The 16063-nt window shown below is 41.3% G+C and overlaps 1 long non-coding RNA gene across 1 annotated transcript, besides 1 other annotated feature; it reads left to right on the top strand.

Moving 5' to 3' along the window:
* Positions 1 to 1116: 1116 nt before the first annotated feature.
* On the top strand, positions 1117 to 9648 carry LINC02219 (long intergenic non-protein coding RNA 2219). Its single transcript, NR_105003.1, has 3 exons — positions 1117 to 1232; positions 7611 to 7730; positions 9431 to 9648. It is a non-coding gene; the product is annotated as a long intergenic non-protein coding RNA 2219 (long non-coding RNA).
* Positions 4800 to 5339: an enhancer, noted in NCBI's record as "OCT4-NANOG-H3K27ac hESC enhancer chr5:67489387-67489926 (GRCh37/hg19 assembly coordinates)". NCBI's record gives its function as "activates a minimal SCP1, AML or CMV promoter by ChIP-STARR-seq in primed H9 embryonic stem cells {active_cell/tissue: H9 hESC(primed)}" and the evidence as "EXISTENCE:reporter gene assay evidence [ECO:0000049][PMID:30033119]".
* Positions 9649 to 16063: the final 6415 nt, after the last annotated feature.

Consider the following 16063-nt stretch of genomic DNA (forward strand, 5'->3'; position numbering starts at 1 on the left):
ACAGAAAGAAAGAGAAAAAAATGAACATACCTAAATGGAATTCAATCCTACTTAGCTTTATACCATGCTTTTTTTTTTTTTCCTTCTGGTAACCATTCCCCATGCCATTAGATATTCTTAAAAGGGTGATTTGTACTGACTTTGGAATATTTCTAGGCTATGTTTCTTTATGCTAGAAAAAGTTCAGACAGTTTTATTTACACCATGCCATACTTAGAAACTAGAAGAGGATGCTTATAGTTAGAGATTACAAGGAAATGTATTTTGCACTAGATATATACCACTTTCTTCAGAATCATTTAAGAATTGCAGCTGGATTCAGCATAGTATTTGGCAAGTACAAATATAGTAATACAATGAAGTTTTCTCACCTTCAGATGTGCTCCAAAAAGAGAAATCAGAAGGAATGAAAATAGAGTGTGAGGGTGGGGTGTGGAAGTTAGGAGCAAAGCAAGAGAAAGGGAGACAATGCTCAGCCCACCCACCCACACCCACACATAAACACACATACACACATGCACACACACACAAACACACCAATTTCCGTAAGCCTCACATCAGCTGACGTGATTTCTGTTTCTTAATTAAGAACCTCAGAATCAGGCCGGATGTGATGGCTCACGCCCATAATCTCAGCACTTTGGGAGGCGGAGGCGGTGCAGAGGGGGTGGGGTGGGGATCACTTGAGGCCAGGGGTTTGAGACCAGCCTGGCCAAAATGGCCAAACCCCCTCTCCACTAAAAATACAAAAATTAACCAGGCATGATGGTGCGTGCCTGTAATCCCAGCTACTCAGGTGGCTGAGGCATGAGAATTGCCAGGAGGCGGAGGTTGCAGTGAGCCAGTGTACTCCAGCCTGGGTGACAGAGCGAGATTTTGTCTCATAAAAAAAAAAAAAAAAAAAAAAAGAACCTCAGAATCAAAACTCAAAAGAATCCAGTGGAAAATCACAAGGATTAAAGCGAAGAGACATATTGCATATTAGAAATGCACAGCTAACGATGTGACAGCAGAAGGGTCCAATGACAGGACACTCGGCATTGTTTGATCACCTGTTGCACACAGGGCTGTACAATGGACATGGAAACGTAGAGATGAATAAATAAGTCACAGGCCTTGGTCCCTTGGAGTTCACAGTCTAATGGGGAAGACAGGATATAAGCAAGTAGTTTCAGCATAGCTTTGGAATTGCATGCAGAGAAGTGAGTGAAGTGAGTGAGGGCCCAGCCAAGGTAAGACCAGGATTCACAAGAACATCCCAAGATCTCAGAGAGGAAGGGAACTTGGAGCGAAGTAGAGAAGAATAAGACCTTACAAACATAGGGGAAAAGGAGTCATAATGGGAGAAATTTTAACAGTTTGATTAATTTTTTTAAAAAAAGGCAAGTGTATTTTAAAATGTCTGTTTTTCCTAGGCTTGGGAACCAATGTTATTGGATACAAACTTGCCCTTGTTTTTGTAATAAGAGATATTCCTTAAAAAGTTTGGTATATGGCAAACTTTGATATTTTAAGCATATTTCAAAAAAAAAAGGACTCACCATGTAAAGAAACTGAACTATGAATTTGTTTGTTGTCTAGATAACACCTAATTTGACTTTTTTTTTTTCTTTTCTTTTTTTTTTTTTGAGACGGAATTTCGCTCTTGTTGCCCAGGCTGGAGTGCAATGGCACCAGCTCGGCTCACTGCAACCTCCTCCTCCTGGGTTCAAGTGATTCTCTTGCCTCAGCCTCCCGAGTAGCTGGGATTACAGGTGCCTGCCACCAGTCCCAGCTAATTTTTGTATTATTAGTAGAGATGGCACCATGTTGGCCAAACTGGTCTCAAACTGCTGACCTCAGGTGATCCACCTGCCTCAGCCTCCCAAACTGCTGGTATTACAGGCGTGAGCCATCATGCCTGGCCTATTTGTCTTTTTTTCATATGGACTTTACATACCACACGTAGTTAGTGCAGTCATGAAAATAGTATCTCCCCACTTGTTCCATTCATTAATGTCAAGCCCAAAAGGACCTTGAGTGAGTTTTATGTTTATTTGCTTGAGCCCATCCCCCAACCCTCCACCCACACACATTCACTTACCCTACTTATATGTGAATATTGCAATTAAGATGGCAAAAGGCAGGCAGCAGCGCGAGCACATGTGGCCATGATGAATGCAAATGTTAAAGATTAACCTTTTTTAAAAAAAGCAGGTTTACTTAATTTTGAAAAGTATCATATTTGCAAAGCTAATTTAGTATTTTTAATTCCCACACTGATTTTTCTTAACCAGTTTGCAGCCTTCCCAACCTACACAGTGACTTTGACTTCTTTTTCTTTCTTTCTTCCTTTCTTTCTTTCTTTCCTTCTTTCTTTTTTTTTTTTTTTTTTTTTTTTTTTTGTAGTTTAAGATCATTTTTTTGAACAACAAGAGACAGGGAGAGGGAGGGGGCAACTACATCCCCCAAGCCCTACCATGGGGAATGGACCTCTCCCTGCCTCCTGCCCCCTAAGCAGCTCCCCTTGTACTATGGGAGGGAGACTTTGTGCAAACTCAGCCCTGAGGGGGTCACAGTGACTCTTAAGGTTGGTCAGGGCTGTAATTACAACTTAGCAAACAGAGAAACCAAAATAAAGAGGCAATTTTAGCTGCTTTCTCAGGTAGGCCCTCAAATTGTCACCTGTTAGAGTGCATTTTCTGCAGTGACTAGAGCCTGCATCTTTAGACAAGCGCTCTGTCCATAGAGTCATGAAGCTACTATTCTTGGGAAATGGATCATGCTCCACCCTTTAATTGAACAGAGTACTTGAATTCTTATAGTATTGAAAATCTCTATGAATTTAACATGGGAGGAGCATGTGCCACACAATCTGGCTGGAGGGGTGGGAGGCAGGAGTCTATGCTTATCTTCCTGTATTTTTCCTCTGATCACCAGACCAGAATGTGTTTCACTGTGGTTAGAGTAAATAAAGTCTCAGGATAACTTTTTTTTTTCAAACAAAAACAAAAAATTCAGTTGTTCTGAAAAGCACTGATAATGTGAAATAAGACAACTGTAGCTGTAATTTAAAGGGTCATCTTTGTTTTATTTTTCTTAAATTGAATATTGTTTTTTCAGAATACTTATGTTCCATGAATATATTTCTAGTTTGAAGAAACTTAAGCTGCTTTTCAAGGTTATACTTAAAAAAAAAGTCATTTAAAACATTGCATGATCCAGTTTACGAGGTTCTTAGGTCAATTACACCATTGTTATCTTTCTCTTCTTGAGCATAGTCTATAACCATTGGGGAAAATAATTAAATATAAATGTTTCTGTATTAACTTTGATTCTGGATGACTTATCTTTTTTTCTTTCTTTTTTTTTTTTTTTTTGAGACAGGGTCTCACTCTGTTGCCCAGGCTGGAGTGCAGTGGCGTGATCTAAGCTCACTGCAACCTCTGTCTCCCAGGTTTAAGCGATTCTCCTGCCTCAGCCTCCTAAGTAGCTGGGATTACAAGACGCCTGTCACCACACCTGGCTAATTTTTGTATTTTTAGTAGAGATGGGGTTTCACCGTGTCGGCCAGGCTGGTCTTGAATTCCTGACCTCAAGTGATCCGCCCTCTTTGACCTCCCAAAGTGCTGGTATTACAGGCATGAGTCACCGCGCAGGGCCTGAATGAGTTATCTTAAGAATAATATCACTGAAGATACCATACTGGTTAACAATTACTACATAATAAATTACTCCCCCAAACCAGTAGCTTAAAACCTTCATTTCATTTTGTTCACGGTTTTCTGGGAATTCAGGAAGTACTCAGTCCAGGCAGCTCTCTGTTGGGTTCTCTCATGCAGTTGCAGTCAGATGTTGACTCTGGCTCCAGTGACATAAGGATCAACTGTCATAGGTCCAGCAGTTGAGGCCCAGCTCTGCCATAGGTCCAGCAGTTGACATGTCTGCAGTGAGCTTGGCAGAGGCTAATAAGCGTATCTACACCAGCATGGCTGTCTCAGGGTAATCAGACTTTTTACATGGCGGAAGACTTTCTCCAGAAAGGCTCAAGAGAATCAGACAAGGGCTTTTTCCAGCCAGCCTCAGACATCACACAGCATCACTACAAGGTTCAACTGTTTCCTATTGAGTCACTAAGATTGGACCTCTCTAGATGGGAGGAGTATCAAATAACTTGCAGATACATTTTTAAACTGCCATACATGTGCTTTTGTGTTTTTCTTCGCAAACAGCTCAGCATGTATTCTCTTTAGCTAAAGACCCCAGTAGTTTTTGAGTTCATTTTGTGCTTCCAGAACCTAGCACAGGGTATGTGTTACAGCAAATGCAGCCAAATATTTGTTAAACTGAACCAAAGGCTGACAAGCCATGAACTCCTGCCATCCACATGAAGGAGGGATTTTGTGGCTGCCAAATTTTTCTTTTGATAAGTTAGATGGCTTATCATGCTGATAATACAACTATATATATAGATAATAGAAAACCTTGGTTTTTTTCCCAAGGTAAAGGAGTCTCAGAAATCCTGTAGTCCCACCCTTTACCTTGTACCTCCCAGCCCTCCTCACCCCACCCCAGTTTCATAGCTGAAGCCCAGAGAAGTTAAGTGACCTAACCAAGTGATAAAGGTATGGTCTCTAGTTGTATTATGTTGGTGCAAAGTATTTGCGGTTTTTGCTATCAAAAGCAATTCCAGGCATTGTTTCTTGTCCATAACAAAATATTGTTTTCTCGGTTACTGTTTGGGGTTATGACTTTATCAAAAATTGCAGGGACATTGTGGGCGTTAGGTCATTTTTATACATGAGGGTGAGGAAGTGATACTTCTGCCAACCTGTTGATCTCAGCAAGAATTCTTTTCCTCCCTGACCTTTCTATTTATTCCATCAGGCAGATAAAGAAAAGACCCAGAAAGATCTCACCAGGAGGCTGTGGGACTCCAAGTTGCTCTCTTCAGATATAGGTCAAAAAAACTAACTTCCTGACCCTTTCTTCATGCCTTGCAATAAGATCTTGTAGTTTCTATGTCTGGGGCAGTGCTGAGTCTAGAAGGCTTCCTGTGATTTACAAAAAGCCTGTGAGGAAATGGAGATGTCCCTGAGCCTGCCTAAACCTGCAACAGTGATCCATTGTATTTCCAGGGGGCAACCCATCATACTTTGATGTAAGACGTCGTTCCAGCCCTTTGGGGTCAGGAATGCAAAATGCCAAGTCATCTATTTTGCATCACAATGATGCAGTTTTGTCAGGAAGTATAGTATTTTTAAAGTGATCACCCAGTTGATTAACAAAAGAAAAGAAATCACACCTTCTCCTTTGAAGTTTGCCAAGCTTCCCTTAACTAAAGAAGGCTCTTTCCTTAGCTTGTATCAGGACCATATTCAAGACTTTTTCAATTTGGAAAATTTCATATTTATTAGGAAAGGTGAATAATAGAGCTAGTATATGGAACTAATTTCTTAGGTCAGTCAACATTTCTTTAAGTCAATTCATTGAATTGATGTTTGTGTGAATGTCTGGCTTATAGTGAGCACTCAGTACATGTTAATTCCGCTTCTTTTCCTAACACCATTGTATGGGGAATGACTCAGGTTCACAATGTTTAGTATTTCTCCAAAATACTCTGAGTCTTCATTACCAAAAAAAAAAGTTCGATAACATTTGACCTCCTGTATTTACTAAGGCAGAAAAACCTTCTAAGCTCCTTGTATTGGTCAGTGTTCTCCAGAGAAACAGAACCAATAGGATGTGTGTGTGTGTGTGTGTGTGTGTGTGTGTGGTGTGTGGTGTGAGTGTAGGGGGCAAGAGAGTTATTTTAAGGAATTGACTCGTGTGATTATGAAAGCTGGCACATTACAAGAGCTGCAGTGAGCAAGCTGGAGATCCAGGATACCTGATAGTATAGTTCCAGTCTGAGTCCAAAGCCTGAGAACCAGAAGAGCTGATGGTGTGTCTAGTCTAAATGCTGGCAGGCTGAAGACCCAGAAAGAGCCAATGTTTCTGTTAGAACCTGAATGCAGTGGGGGAAAAAACTAATGTTCTAACTCTAGGTAGTCAGCCAGAAGGAAATTCCCTCTTACACATGGTAGCACCAGCCTTTTTGCTGTATTCAGCCTTCAACTGACTGGATGAGTCCCATCCACGTTAAGGAGGGCAATCTACTTTACTGAGTCAACTGATTCAAATGTTAATCTTGTCCAAAAGAACCCTCATAGAAATACCCAGAATAATCTTTGGCCAAATACCTGGGCATCCCATGGTCAGTTAAGTCAACATATAAAGCTAACTATCACACTCCTTTTCCGTTGAGCACTAGTCAAATTGAAATTTCATAGAATTTGTGTGTTTGTAATAGAAATGATTTTCTGGTTAACCCTGTTTTACCAAATATGTACGGTGTACCCAGTTCTCCTTAGGATTTACTCTTTGCTCAGAGCATTTCATTTTGGGGCATGCAAATAAATGGGATGCCCCCCTTATCCCTGCCCCATTATCCCTTATCCCTGTCCCTGTATGGAATACAATGTACACTCATAACATGAAACCAAAGGGAGGATGTTCTATGTAACATTACTGATTCTGTGACCATCCTAGGAAGGAATGCTGGTGCGAGCTCTCCATCTTCACTTCATGAATTAATAGACTTGTCATCGGAGGTATTAATAGGGCTTGGAGTTACAGCAAAGCTTCACAGACATTCTCAGACATCAATCACATTTTGGTGTTTGCAGCTCGAAGGCAAATCATCTGCACAATTATGATTTATATGAAATTCAGGAATCATAAATGTGCTTCACTTTGGTCTTATTCAGAAACCAGTAGCTTTTACTCATGGATGCTAGCAAGTTTGGCTTGCATGGTGGAGGCTGTGTGCTGTTGAGGTTAATAGCATGCAATTACCCGGGCTCCAACTGCAGCTCTACCAACACAGAAGCAAAAGTGGAAAACATGGCAGAGTTCTTAGAGTAGAAATAAAACTGTAAAAACAATGGTTGAAGAAGGATCTTTGTGCTTGTTTTAGATAGAATTCATTAAATTTTTAACTGCTATGCCAAAGAGACTATATCCATATAATCTTTAGACATGCAGTGAGGTAGTTACTGTTATTATCCCCATGCTAGAATTTGAAAACAGAAACACAGAGAACATAAGTAACTTGTCCTAAGGTCACTTTGATTTGAAAGTAGGGAGTGTGGTTCCAAGACTAACTACCAAACTAGGTGTTTCTTTGCTGGGTGAGTCCTCTCTCTGTCACCCAAACAAACACACAGCCTGGCCCAGTGATCCCATAGAGGTGCTGCCTTGCACTGCCAAGTCCTATGGGAATACTGGGCAAAGGTTCTTTTCTGCTTTCAGACCATACCCCTTGCGTCTCAGGTAGAATACTACAGGGGATAAATGGAAGACCAGATCCAGTTGGGTCAGAGGCCTCCCCTCCAGATCTTCCGCTCTCCAGAGCCTTTTTCCACCCTCTCCCCTAACCATCAACCACATGTCCCTTAGAGTTTCGTACTGTCCATTCCGCTCAAGACTTGGGTTTCCCTTTAATATTTTTATTGGTTTTGTAATAAACATCTTGGTGCTGATTAGTTGTTTTTTTTTTTTTTTTAACCGAGTTTCACTCTTTCGCCCAGGCTGGAGTAAAGTGGCATGATCTCGGCTCACTGCAGCCTCCGCCCCCGCCAGGTTCAAGTGATTCTCCTGCCTCAGCCTCCCGAGTAGCTGGGATTACAGGCGCAGGCCACCATGCCCAGGTAATTTTTGTATTTTTAGGAGAGAGGGGGGTTTCTCCATGTTTACCAGGCTGGTCCCGAACTCCTGACCTCAGGTGATACACCCGCCTTGGCCTCCCAAAGTGCTGTGATTACAGGCATGAGCTACCACGCCTGGCCGGTGCTGAATTTTAATTCCTCAACCAGCTGGGCTACCCTCGGTAATACCCTCAGTAATCATTACCCTCCCCATCACGAACTGCTCACTTGATCACTCAACACATAGAGAGTCTCCTTCATTCCCAATGTAGAATAGAGAGCAGAGATAACAGTGGAGAGTAAAGGCAACATGGTCCCTGCCCTCACGGAGTTTATACTCTAGTGGGGAAGACAAACATTATTCAAAGAGTTACATATAAATATAAAACTATACTGTGACAAATGCCACAAGGAAAAGGTGCAGAGTTTGATGACCCCAGGACCTGGAATTTACCTAGTCAGAGAGATCAAGGAAGGCTTCCCTAAGGAAGTGGTGCAGAGCTGAGATCGGAAGAAGCAGGGATGTTCTCCACAGAAAGAACATGCTCAGAAGCCCAGTCAGCAGCAGGAAGGAGTGTGGTGATTTTGAGGAACCGAAAGAAGACCAGCATGGCTGGAGAACAGAGGATGGGGGTGTGATATGTGACGAGCGAAGAGAAGTAAGCGGGGGCAAGATTGTGTAAGCCTGTGATCAGGATTCTGGCCTGTATGCCTAGAGCAGTTATTTTCAACTTCGGCTACATGTCAGAACCACCTACAAAGCATTTTAAAATACTGATTAAAGGATCCCATTCCAGAACCATCAAATCCAAACTTCTGGAAGTGAGAACCAGGCATAAGTATTTTTTTTAAAGCTTTCAGGTGATTTTATCATGAAAACAAGGGTGAGAATCATTGACCTATAGCAATGAGAAGTCACTAAAATGTTTGAAGATAATATGTATGCTATGAATCTTTAGAGGGAGTTGGAAGCCATTTCCAGATTTACATTTCAAAAAGCATCCTCTGGCTAGAACCATGGAGTTATCAATGCTAGTGATTGAGAGTTCAAAAAGGAGACCAATTCAGTGACAACTATTTTTTTATTTTTATTTTTTTGAGATGGAGTTTCCCTCTTGTCATCCAGTCTGGAGTGCAATCTCACAATCTCGGCTCACTGCAACCTCTGCCTCCTTGGTTCAAGTGATTCTCCTGCCTCAGCCTCCCAAGTAGCTGGGATTACAGGCGCCTGCCACCACGCCCAGCTAGTTTTCACATTTTTAGTAGAGATGGGGTTTCGCCATGTTGGCCAGGCTGGTCTCAAACTCCTGACCTCAGGTTATCCACCCGCCTCGGCCTCCCAAAGTGCTGGGATTATAGACATGAGCCACTGTGTCTAGCCAGTGACTGCTATTGATAAATGGTGCAGGTGAGGATTAGGGTAGCATCAACGGAGATGAAAAACATACATATATTTACAAGATTTTTAGTTGGTTAAAACACTGAGACTGGCAGAATGATGAAATGATGGATTCTATAATGGGAAAAAAGAGAGCAAATGACTATCAGTGTTCTGCTCACACAAGATGGATAATTGTGCCACTTGTTGATACAGGGACGAGGACTAGAATCAGAAATGTTTAGAGTGAGGGTACGTTTTCATTTGGGCATGTGAGGTTTGCTTTCATTTTGTCATGCATGTTCTTTACCTCTCTTTTCTGTAGGTCACCCGTACTTCATTTACCAGTCCTTGCTAAGGATTATTCATTAAAACACACAACAGCAACAATAACCACAAAAGCAACAATAAAAATACCTTTGAACTCACTCAATCTTGAACTATTGAACATGCTAAGTCCGTGTCATTGGCCTACTTAATCAGCCCTCGATTGTAACTTGAAGAAGCTTATTGATAAGAAAATAAACTTCTCATAAAGTATAACTACTTTCTTAGCAAAACTATTTGTTTCATCTTCTCTTTAAAATTTTTGATATTATGTATTTCCTTTTTTTTTTTTTTTTTTGGAGACAGAGTCTTACTCTGTCACCTGGGCTGGAGTGCAGTAGTGTTATCTCGGCTCAATGCAACCTCCGTCTCCTGGGTTCAAGCAATTCTCCTGCCTCAGCCTGCCGAGTAGCTGGAATTACAAACACCCGCCACCACCCCCAGCTAATTTTTTGTATTTTTAGTGGAGACAGGGTTTCACCATGTTGGCCAGGCTGGTCTTGAATGCCTGACCTCAGGTGATCCATCCACCTCAGCCTCCCAAAGTGCTGGGATTACAGGCGTGAGCCACTGCACCCGGTCTATTATGTATTTCTGAAGATATTTAATGCCAAGTAACAGAAACCACACTCCAATGAGTTTAAACAAAAATAACATTATTATAAGAATATAAAGGTATCTTATGGAATATAAGAATAAATCTGTGGCTAGAGTTAAGGAAAAGCTAGAATCACGAACTCATGACTTCACAGTTCCCTCTCCCCAGCTCTTCTTCTCTTGTGCATCTGCTTTGTTTTTCTTTCTCTGTTCTCAGAAACTAGCTCCCATCACTTTTCTTCTTAACATGAACAAAAATATGACAAGTGACAGCTCCTGAGGTTTAAGCCCTAGAGCTCAGACATCAGAGGGAAACAATCTTAACTCTTTCAGTACAAAACCTAAAATCCTGGGGTAGAAACTCAAGTAGACTATCTGTCCTTCTTCAGACCAATCCACTGTAGCCAGGAAGTCGGAGCTGGGGAAAAAGCTGTAACTATCCCACTTTGATTCATATATGTTACTGAACTGTGGCCAAAATGGATACCCCCCTTGATAGTCTCAGGGGATTCCCTTAGGACTTGATTTGCAAGACCCAAAAGAGCAGGGACTGAGCAAAACATGCAAGTTTGCCATTACATCCCAACTAAGTAAATTAACATGTGTGATCCTCAAGATCTAACTGAAGACAATCCTAAAAAGGCTGATAGTTATGCAAAATATTTCATCTCCCTGAACTAGTGGATTTTTTTTTTAATTATTATTAAGGCAGCTGAAATTTCCAAATTTTTAAAAATTTTATATTTGATAATGATGTATGCCAAGAGATTTGCATTTGTCTATGATATGAACTATGATGTTTGAACTGATTCTTTCAACAAAGCAATGCACTAGTTCTGAAATTATCCTAATTTTAAATATCATTTGCATTTCTGTAGATGGAAAATTATATAACAAATTCTAGTTCTTTTCATTTTCATTTGATTAACACTAAGACTCTCCAAAGCTCTAAAAGAAATAGCAGGAGTTGAAATTTCAATTGCATTTGGGAAAATATGTACTTTGTTCCTTTAGAAATAAAGGAGAACATGTGAGATGACAAGTCATAAAGAAGCTGGTCTCAATATGTATTCTTTTGAAGCTCTAAGATGAAATGAGGGCTATGCACACTACTGGTGATGAAAATGATCACAAATAAAGATCTCTTATGAGCCTTCTTGTGGAAGGACATTGAAAAATGTAAGGAAATAATCAGGCCAATACTTTCCTTCTGACTTCCCAGTGTACAGCCTTCTCCTGCAGGAAAGAGAGACAGACCATACCCCATGTGGTCATGACTTAAATGGACTTTCCCTCAAGGAATTTATAATCTAGTTAGGACTGAACATATATATGGCTAATGACATTTATAAAATAATCCATTCTTAAGTGTCCAGTAGACAATGCACATCAGTGTAAACAGAAGTCAGAGACTAGGAGTCCAAGCAGGCTTGAGTGGCCCTGCCAGGGCTAGCCCTTGACAAAGCTGTGAAGCAGATATAGTTTGTCTTGGGGGCTGTTGTGCCCCAATTATCAGCACAGTCCCTGTTTCCTTCCTTTTGGCCCCCCTGTACTTAACTTTAACTTCATTCTTCATCCACTGGATGGTATCTATCATTCTTTCCAGTTTTGCTCCTAACTCATTTTCAACAAATCCCTGCCATGGTACTAACTGAAACTTGAAACTGAAACATAACAGATCTGTGGGTTGCAGAATTGAGTCCTAGTCCTGGCCTGCACCTCTCATTCAGTGTAATCCATCACTGTACCTAGCGAATTTTTGTATTTTTAGTAGAGATCGGGTTTTGCCACGTTGTCCAGGCTGGTCTTGAACTCCTGACTCAGTTGATCCACCCGCCTCAGCCTCCCAAAGTGCTGGGGTTACAGGCATGAGCCACCACACCTGCTCTGCATTTTTATTTTTTAAAGCGGGAGAAGGACAGTCCCTATTATTTTCCAGTATAATTTACTGCAAGAGTCAGCAAACTTTTTCTGTAAAGAACCAGATAGTAAATATTTTAGGCTTTGTGGGTCATACAGTTTTTATTGCAATTACTCAGTTCTGCCATGGTAGCAGAAAAGCAGCCACAGACAACTTCAAAAGTCATTTAAAGGACAGGTGGTGGGCCAGAGTTGGCCTGCAGAGTGTAGTTTACAGACGCCAGGTTTAGAGGATGCTGTCTAGAGCCGATTTGCTTGAGTTCAAAACTCAGTTCTACCTGCTTACTAATCTCTTTGTGCCACAATTTTCTTATCTGTAAAACATCTACCTCATAGGTTGTTTGTAGGGACTAAATGAATTACTATGTATAAAGCACTCCTCTATTTGTGAACTTTCTACCTGTAATCATAGATATTGTCAAATCTTTTTACCAGAGCAAAAACACACAAACTTGGCCCACCTCAAACTATTGACTCTAGTGGCCACTTGCATGGTATTACTTTGACTCTAAAGCCAAATGATCTTGCAGCCTTCTGCAAGGTAACTTGTTGATAAGCCAAGAAGTTTCTGAAGAAAGTACGAAAAAGAAAAACTTGGCGAAGCCACCTCTGCCAAAGTACTGAGCCTCGTGTTAGGGAGAACGCTAGGTTTTGGATATTTATTTATTTATTATTACTGTTATTATCATTTTTTGAGATGGAGTTTCACTCTTTCACCCAGGCTGGAGTGAAGTGGCGCAATCTCGGCTCACTGCAACCTCCGCCCCTACTAGGTTCAAGCAATTCTCCTGCCTCAGCCTCCCGAGTAGCTGGGATTATAGGCACGCACCACCATGCCTGGCTAATTTTTTATTTTTAATGGAGACAGGGTTTCGCCATGTTGGCCAGGCTGGTCTCAAACTCCTGACCTCAGGTGATCCACCCACCTCGGCCTCCCAAAGTGCCAGGATTACAAGTGTGAGCCACTGTGTCTGGCTGGTTTTGGCTATTTTGTATGTAGTAATACCAGGTTTATAGTATTACATGGAAATTGGTATGGGAATTAGGGAAATATTAACATATCATTTTAATGGGACCCAATATGGATTGGCGAATGGAGGTGGTGATGGTGGTGGAAATGATGGTGTGTGCAAACACTCCCGGACAGGTAAAGGGCTTAGGAACAGATGTGTATTCTCTTTTCCCTCCAAATTCAGTGACTGAAAAAAGAGCAGTAATTGCCAACTCCTCTGCCACAGTCGTATGGTAAAATTATGTGATAGAGTATTTTATAGCATTTCAGGTTTAAGTGAGTTTTGCCTTGGATTGCAACATCAACCTGCCTGGTTCCTCCTGTTTTTCATGTGGCATGGTGCCCAAATTTTGTACAAGATTATTAATCTTTTACAAGGGTATTGTTGACAGTCCTGTAATCATGTATACAAGTCATAAATCTTTTCTTCAATAAGTCAATGGTGCCTGCCATATTTGGCAGGTATTTCCCAGGCATTAGCTAAACTGGAATGATAACAGTGAGGCCATGAGCTAGAACAATGAGGCCTGGATTGATTGATTGATTGATTTTTTCGAGATGGAGTCTCGCTCTGTCACCCAGGCTGGAGTGCAGTGACGCAATCTCGGCTCAGTGCAACCTCTGCCTCCCAGGTTCAAGCAGTTCTCCTGCCTTAGCCTCCTGAGTAGCTGGGATTACAGGCATGCATCACCACGCCTGGCTAATTTTTTTGTATTTTTAGTAGAGATGGGTTTTCACCATATTGGTCAGGCTGGTCTCGAACTCCTGACCTTGTGATTGCCCGCCTCGGCCTCCCAAAGTGTTGCGATTACAGGCATGAGCCACCATGCCAGGCCCTGGATTTATTTTTTATTTTACTATATATATTTTTTTCAGAGACAGGGTCTCACTCTGTCAGGCTAGAGTGCAGTGGTACAATCATAGCTCACTGCGGCCTTGAACTCCTAGCCTCAAGCCATCCTCCTGCTTCAGCCTCCCAAGTAGCTGGGACTACAGGTGTATACCATGGACCTGGATTTAGACTTAGGTTCTTCTCATGGTTCTGTCACTAACTAGCTGTGTGACTTGAAGCATTAACTAACTTTGTATTATAGAGATAAGGGTCTTGGTTTTCTTATCTGAAAAACAGTTAAATTAGATATATGTAGCACTTGCCAATTCTATAGTTCAATATTCCTGAAGTAGAGAGATTAGGTGATCCAAGAGGTCTGAAACTCTGTGTTAATTAGCCCAAAGCCTTTTTGGGCCCTTTCAAAATTTATCCTAGGTTTGTGGTAATGATAGGTCAGTTAATAATTACAGAAGTTAGACTGAAAGTTACCTGGAAGGAACACAACACGGATTTAGAATAAGGAGCACATTAACCCAGATGGAAGAATCATCAGACAGTGAGGCAGCACGTGCTGCTCGAAGAGTCAGAAGACCCAAGGGTAGATTTGGTTCTGTTGCTTCCCACCTATGCCAAACCATGGAGTTTTCCCAAGTCTTTTTCTTCATCTATAGAATGAAAATCATGATACATGCTCTGCTTACCACCCAGGGCTGGTGCGTCAAATAAAACCATTCATGTAAAAGCCCTCTTTCTTTCTTTCTTTTTTTTTTTTTATTTATTTTGAGATGGGGTTTCACTCTGTCATCCAGGCTGGAGTGAAGAGGTGCAATCTTGGCTCAATGCAACCTCTGCCTCCTATGCTCAAGCGATCCTCCCACCTCAGCCTCCCAAGTAGCTGGAACCACAGGCTCATGCCACCAAGCCCAGCTAATTTTTTGTAGTTTTGGTAGAGATGGGGTTTTACCATGTTCCCAGACTGGTCTCGAACTCCTGAGCTCAAGCAACATGCCCACCTCAGCCTCCCAAAGTGCTGGGATTGCAGGCATGAGCCACCGCCACCAACCCGTAAAAGCCCTCTTGAAACATTAAAATTGAATACCACAACCATCGTAAGCATGGTTCCCTTCTTCAAATAGAAAACATAAGCTACCTTTTTCAAACACATTAGTATTTAAAGAATCTAATAACTTCTAAAACATCCTAAACTATCCATAGTCACTCTTTCCGAAGTCATTCTTCCAAATAGAAAGTTGTTGCTTTCTATTTATAACAGAAAGGAAATCCTTGTTAACATTGTGATGCATGTACCAACAACGGGTTTAAGTGTTTAAATGAAAAATTCTAACCCTTTTGAAAAAATCAGTATTGTCAGAATACAGCTTTGCCTGATCTAAAGTGTTTTCTTTGCACATAGCTTAGCAGGATTCAGAGAAAAGTCTATACGATAGGAGCTAGACTGGGGAGGCTGATGGGAATGTGTCTCCTTTATTCTATGAGCTTGTTTGAATGCTAGGGGCCAGGTTCTGTCGGCAGCACTGACATCTCTGGGTCCCCTCCAGTGGAGGGAACAAAGGCTGGGGTTTCTTTTGAAAAATTCTTTCTGAGCAGTGAGATTGTCCAACACAGTTTCCTTGATAAAGGGCTCATTATCTATCAGTGTGACTTTGCCCTTAATTTTTACGCCAGCAGTGCCAACATGAACATACTCAAGCAAATCCTTTTACCCAGACAGTTGTAACAGCACCCTGATAATTTGTGCCAGTGCTCAAGGCTTGGGTGTGGAATATAACCAACCATGGGCTAAATTTCCTATTAGTTGAATCTCTAAGAAATATAATTTATTAGCTTGCTCTTCATCATGTTTACGCTCCTTGTCACTTTTCAAACACAAGCTCATTTTCAGATAAGCATAGTAGAATGTTTCAGAATTGCATCTTTAGTTCAACTAACACATTCCTTATGGATCTAAAAGAGTTGCTTTTGTTGGAGAAAGGTAGGTCCAAAACTTTGGGAAAAGTGACCTTCTGAGAAAGAAATCAATACAACAATGAACACGTGATGACTCAGTCTGACAGAGTCTTTAAATGGTGGAGAAAATCTGGTATCTCCCAAATCTGAACATAGGGATTAAGTTTTAGTCTCTAAGAGGTGGGACTAGAGTATTATGTTAACTGAAGAAGCTGAACGCTAAGTGTACTGTAAGTGTTGTAACACAGTTGTAATCTAATGGAGTGGCTGTGTAGAACCTACACAAAAGGAAGCCAGAGAAT

Source organism: Homo sapiens, chromosome 5 (assembly GCF_000001405.40).
Source record: "Homo sapiens chromosome 5, GRCh38.p14 Primary Assembly".
NCBI classification, from domain to species: Eukaryota; Metazoa; Chordata; class Mammalia; order Primates; family Hominidae; genus Homo; species Homo sapiens.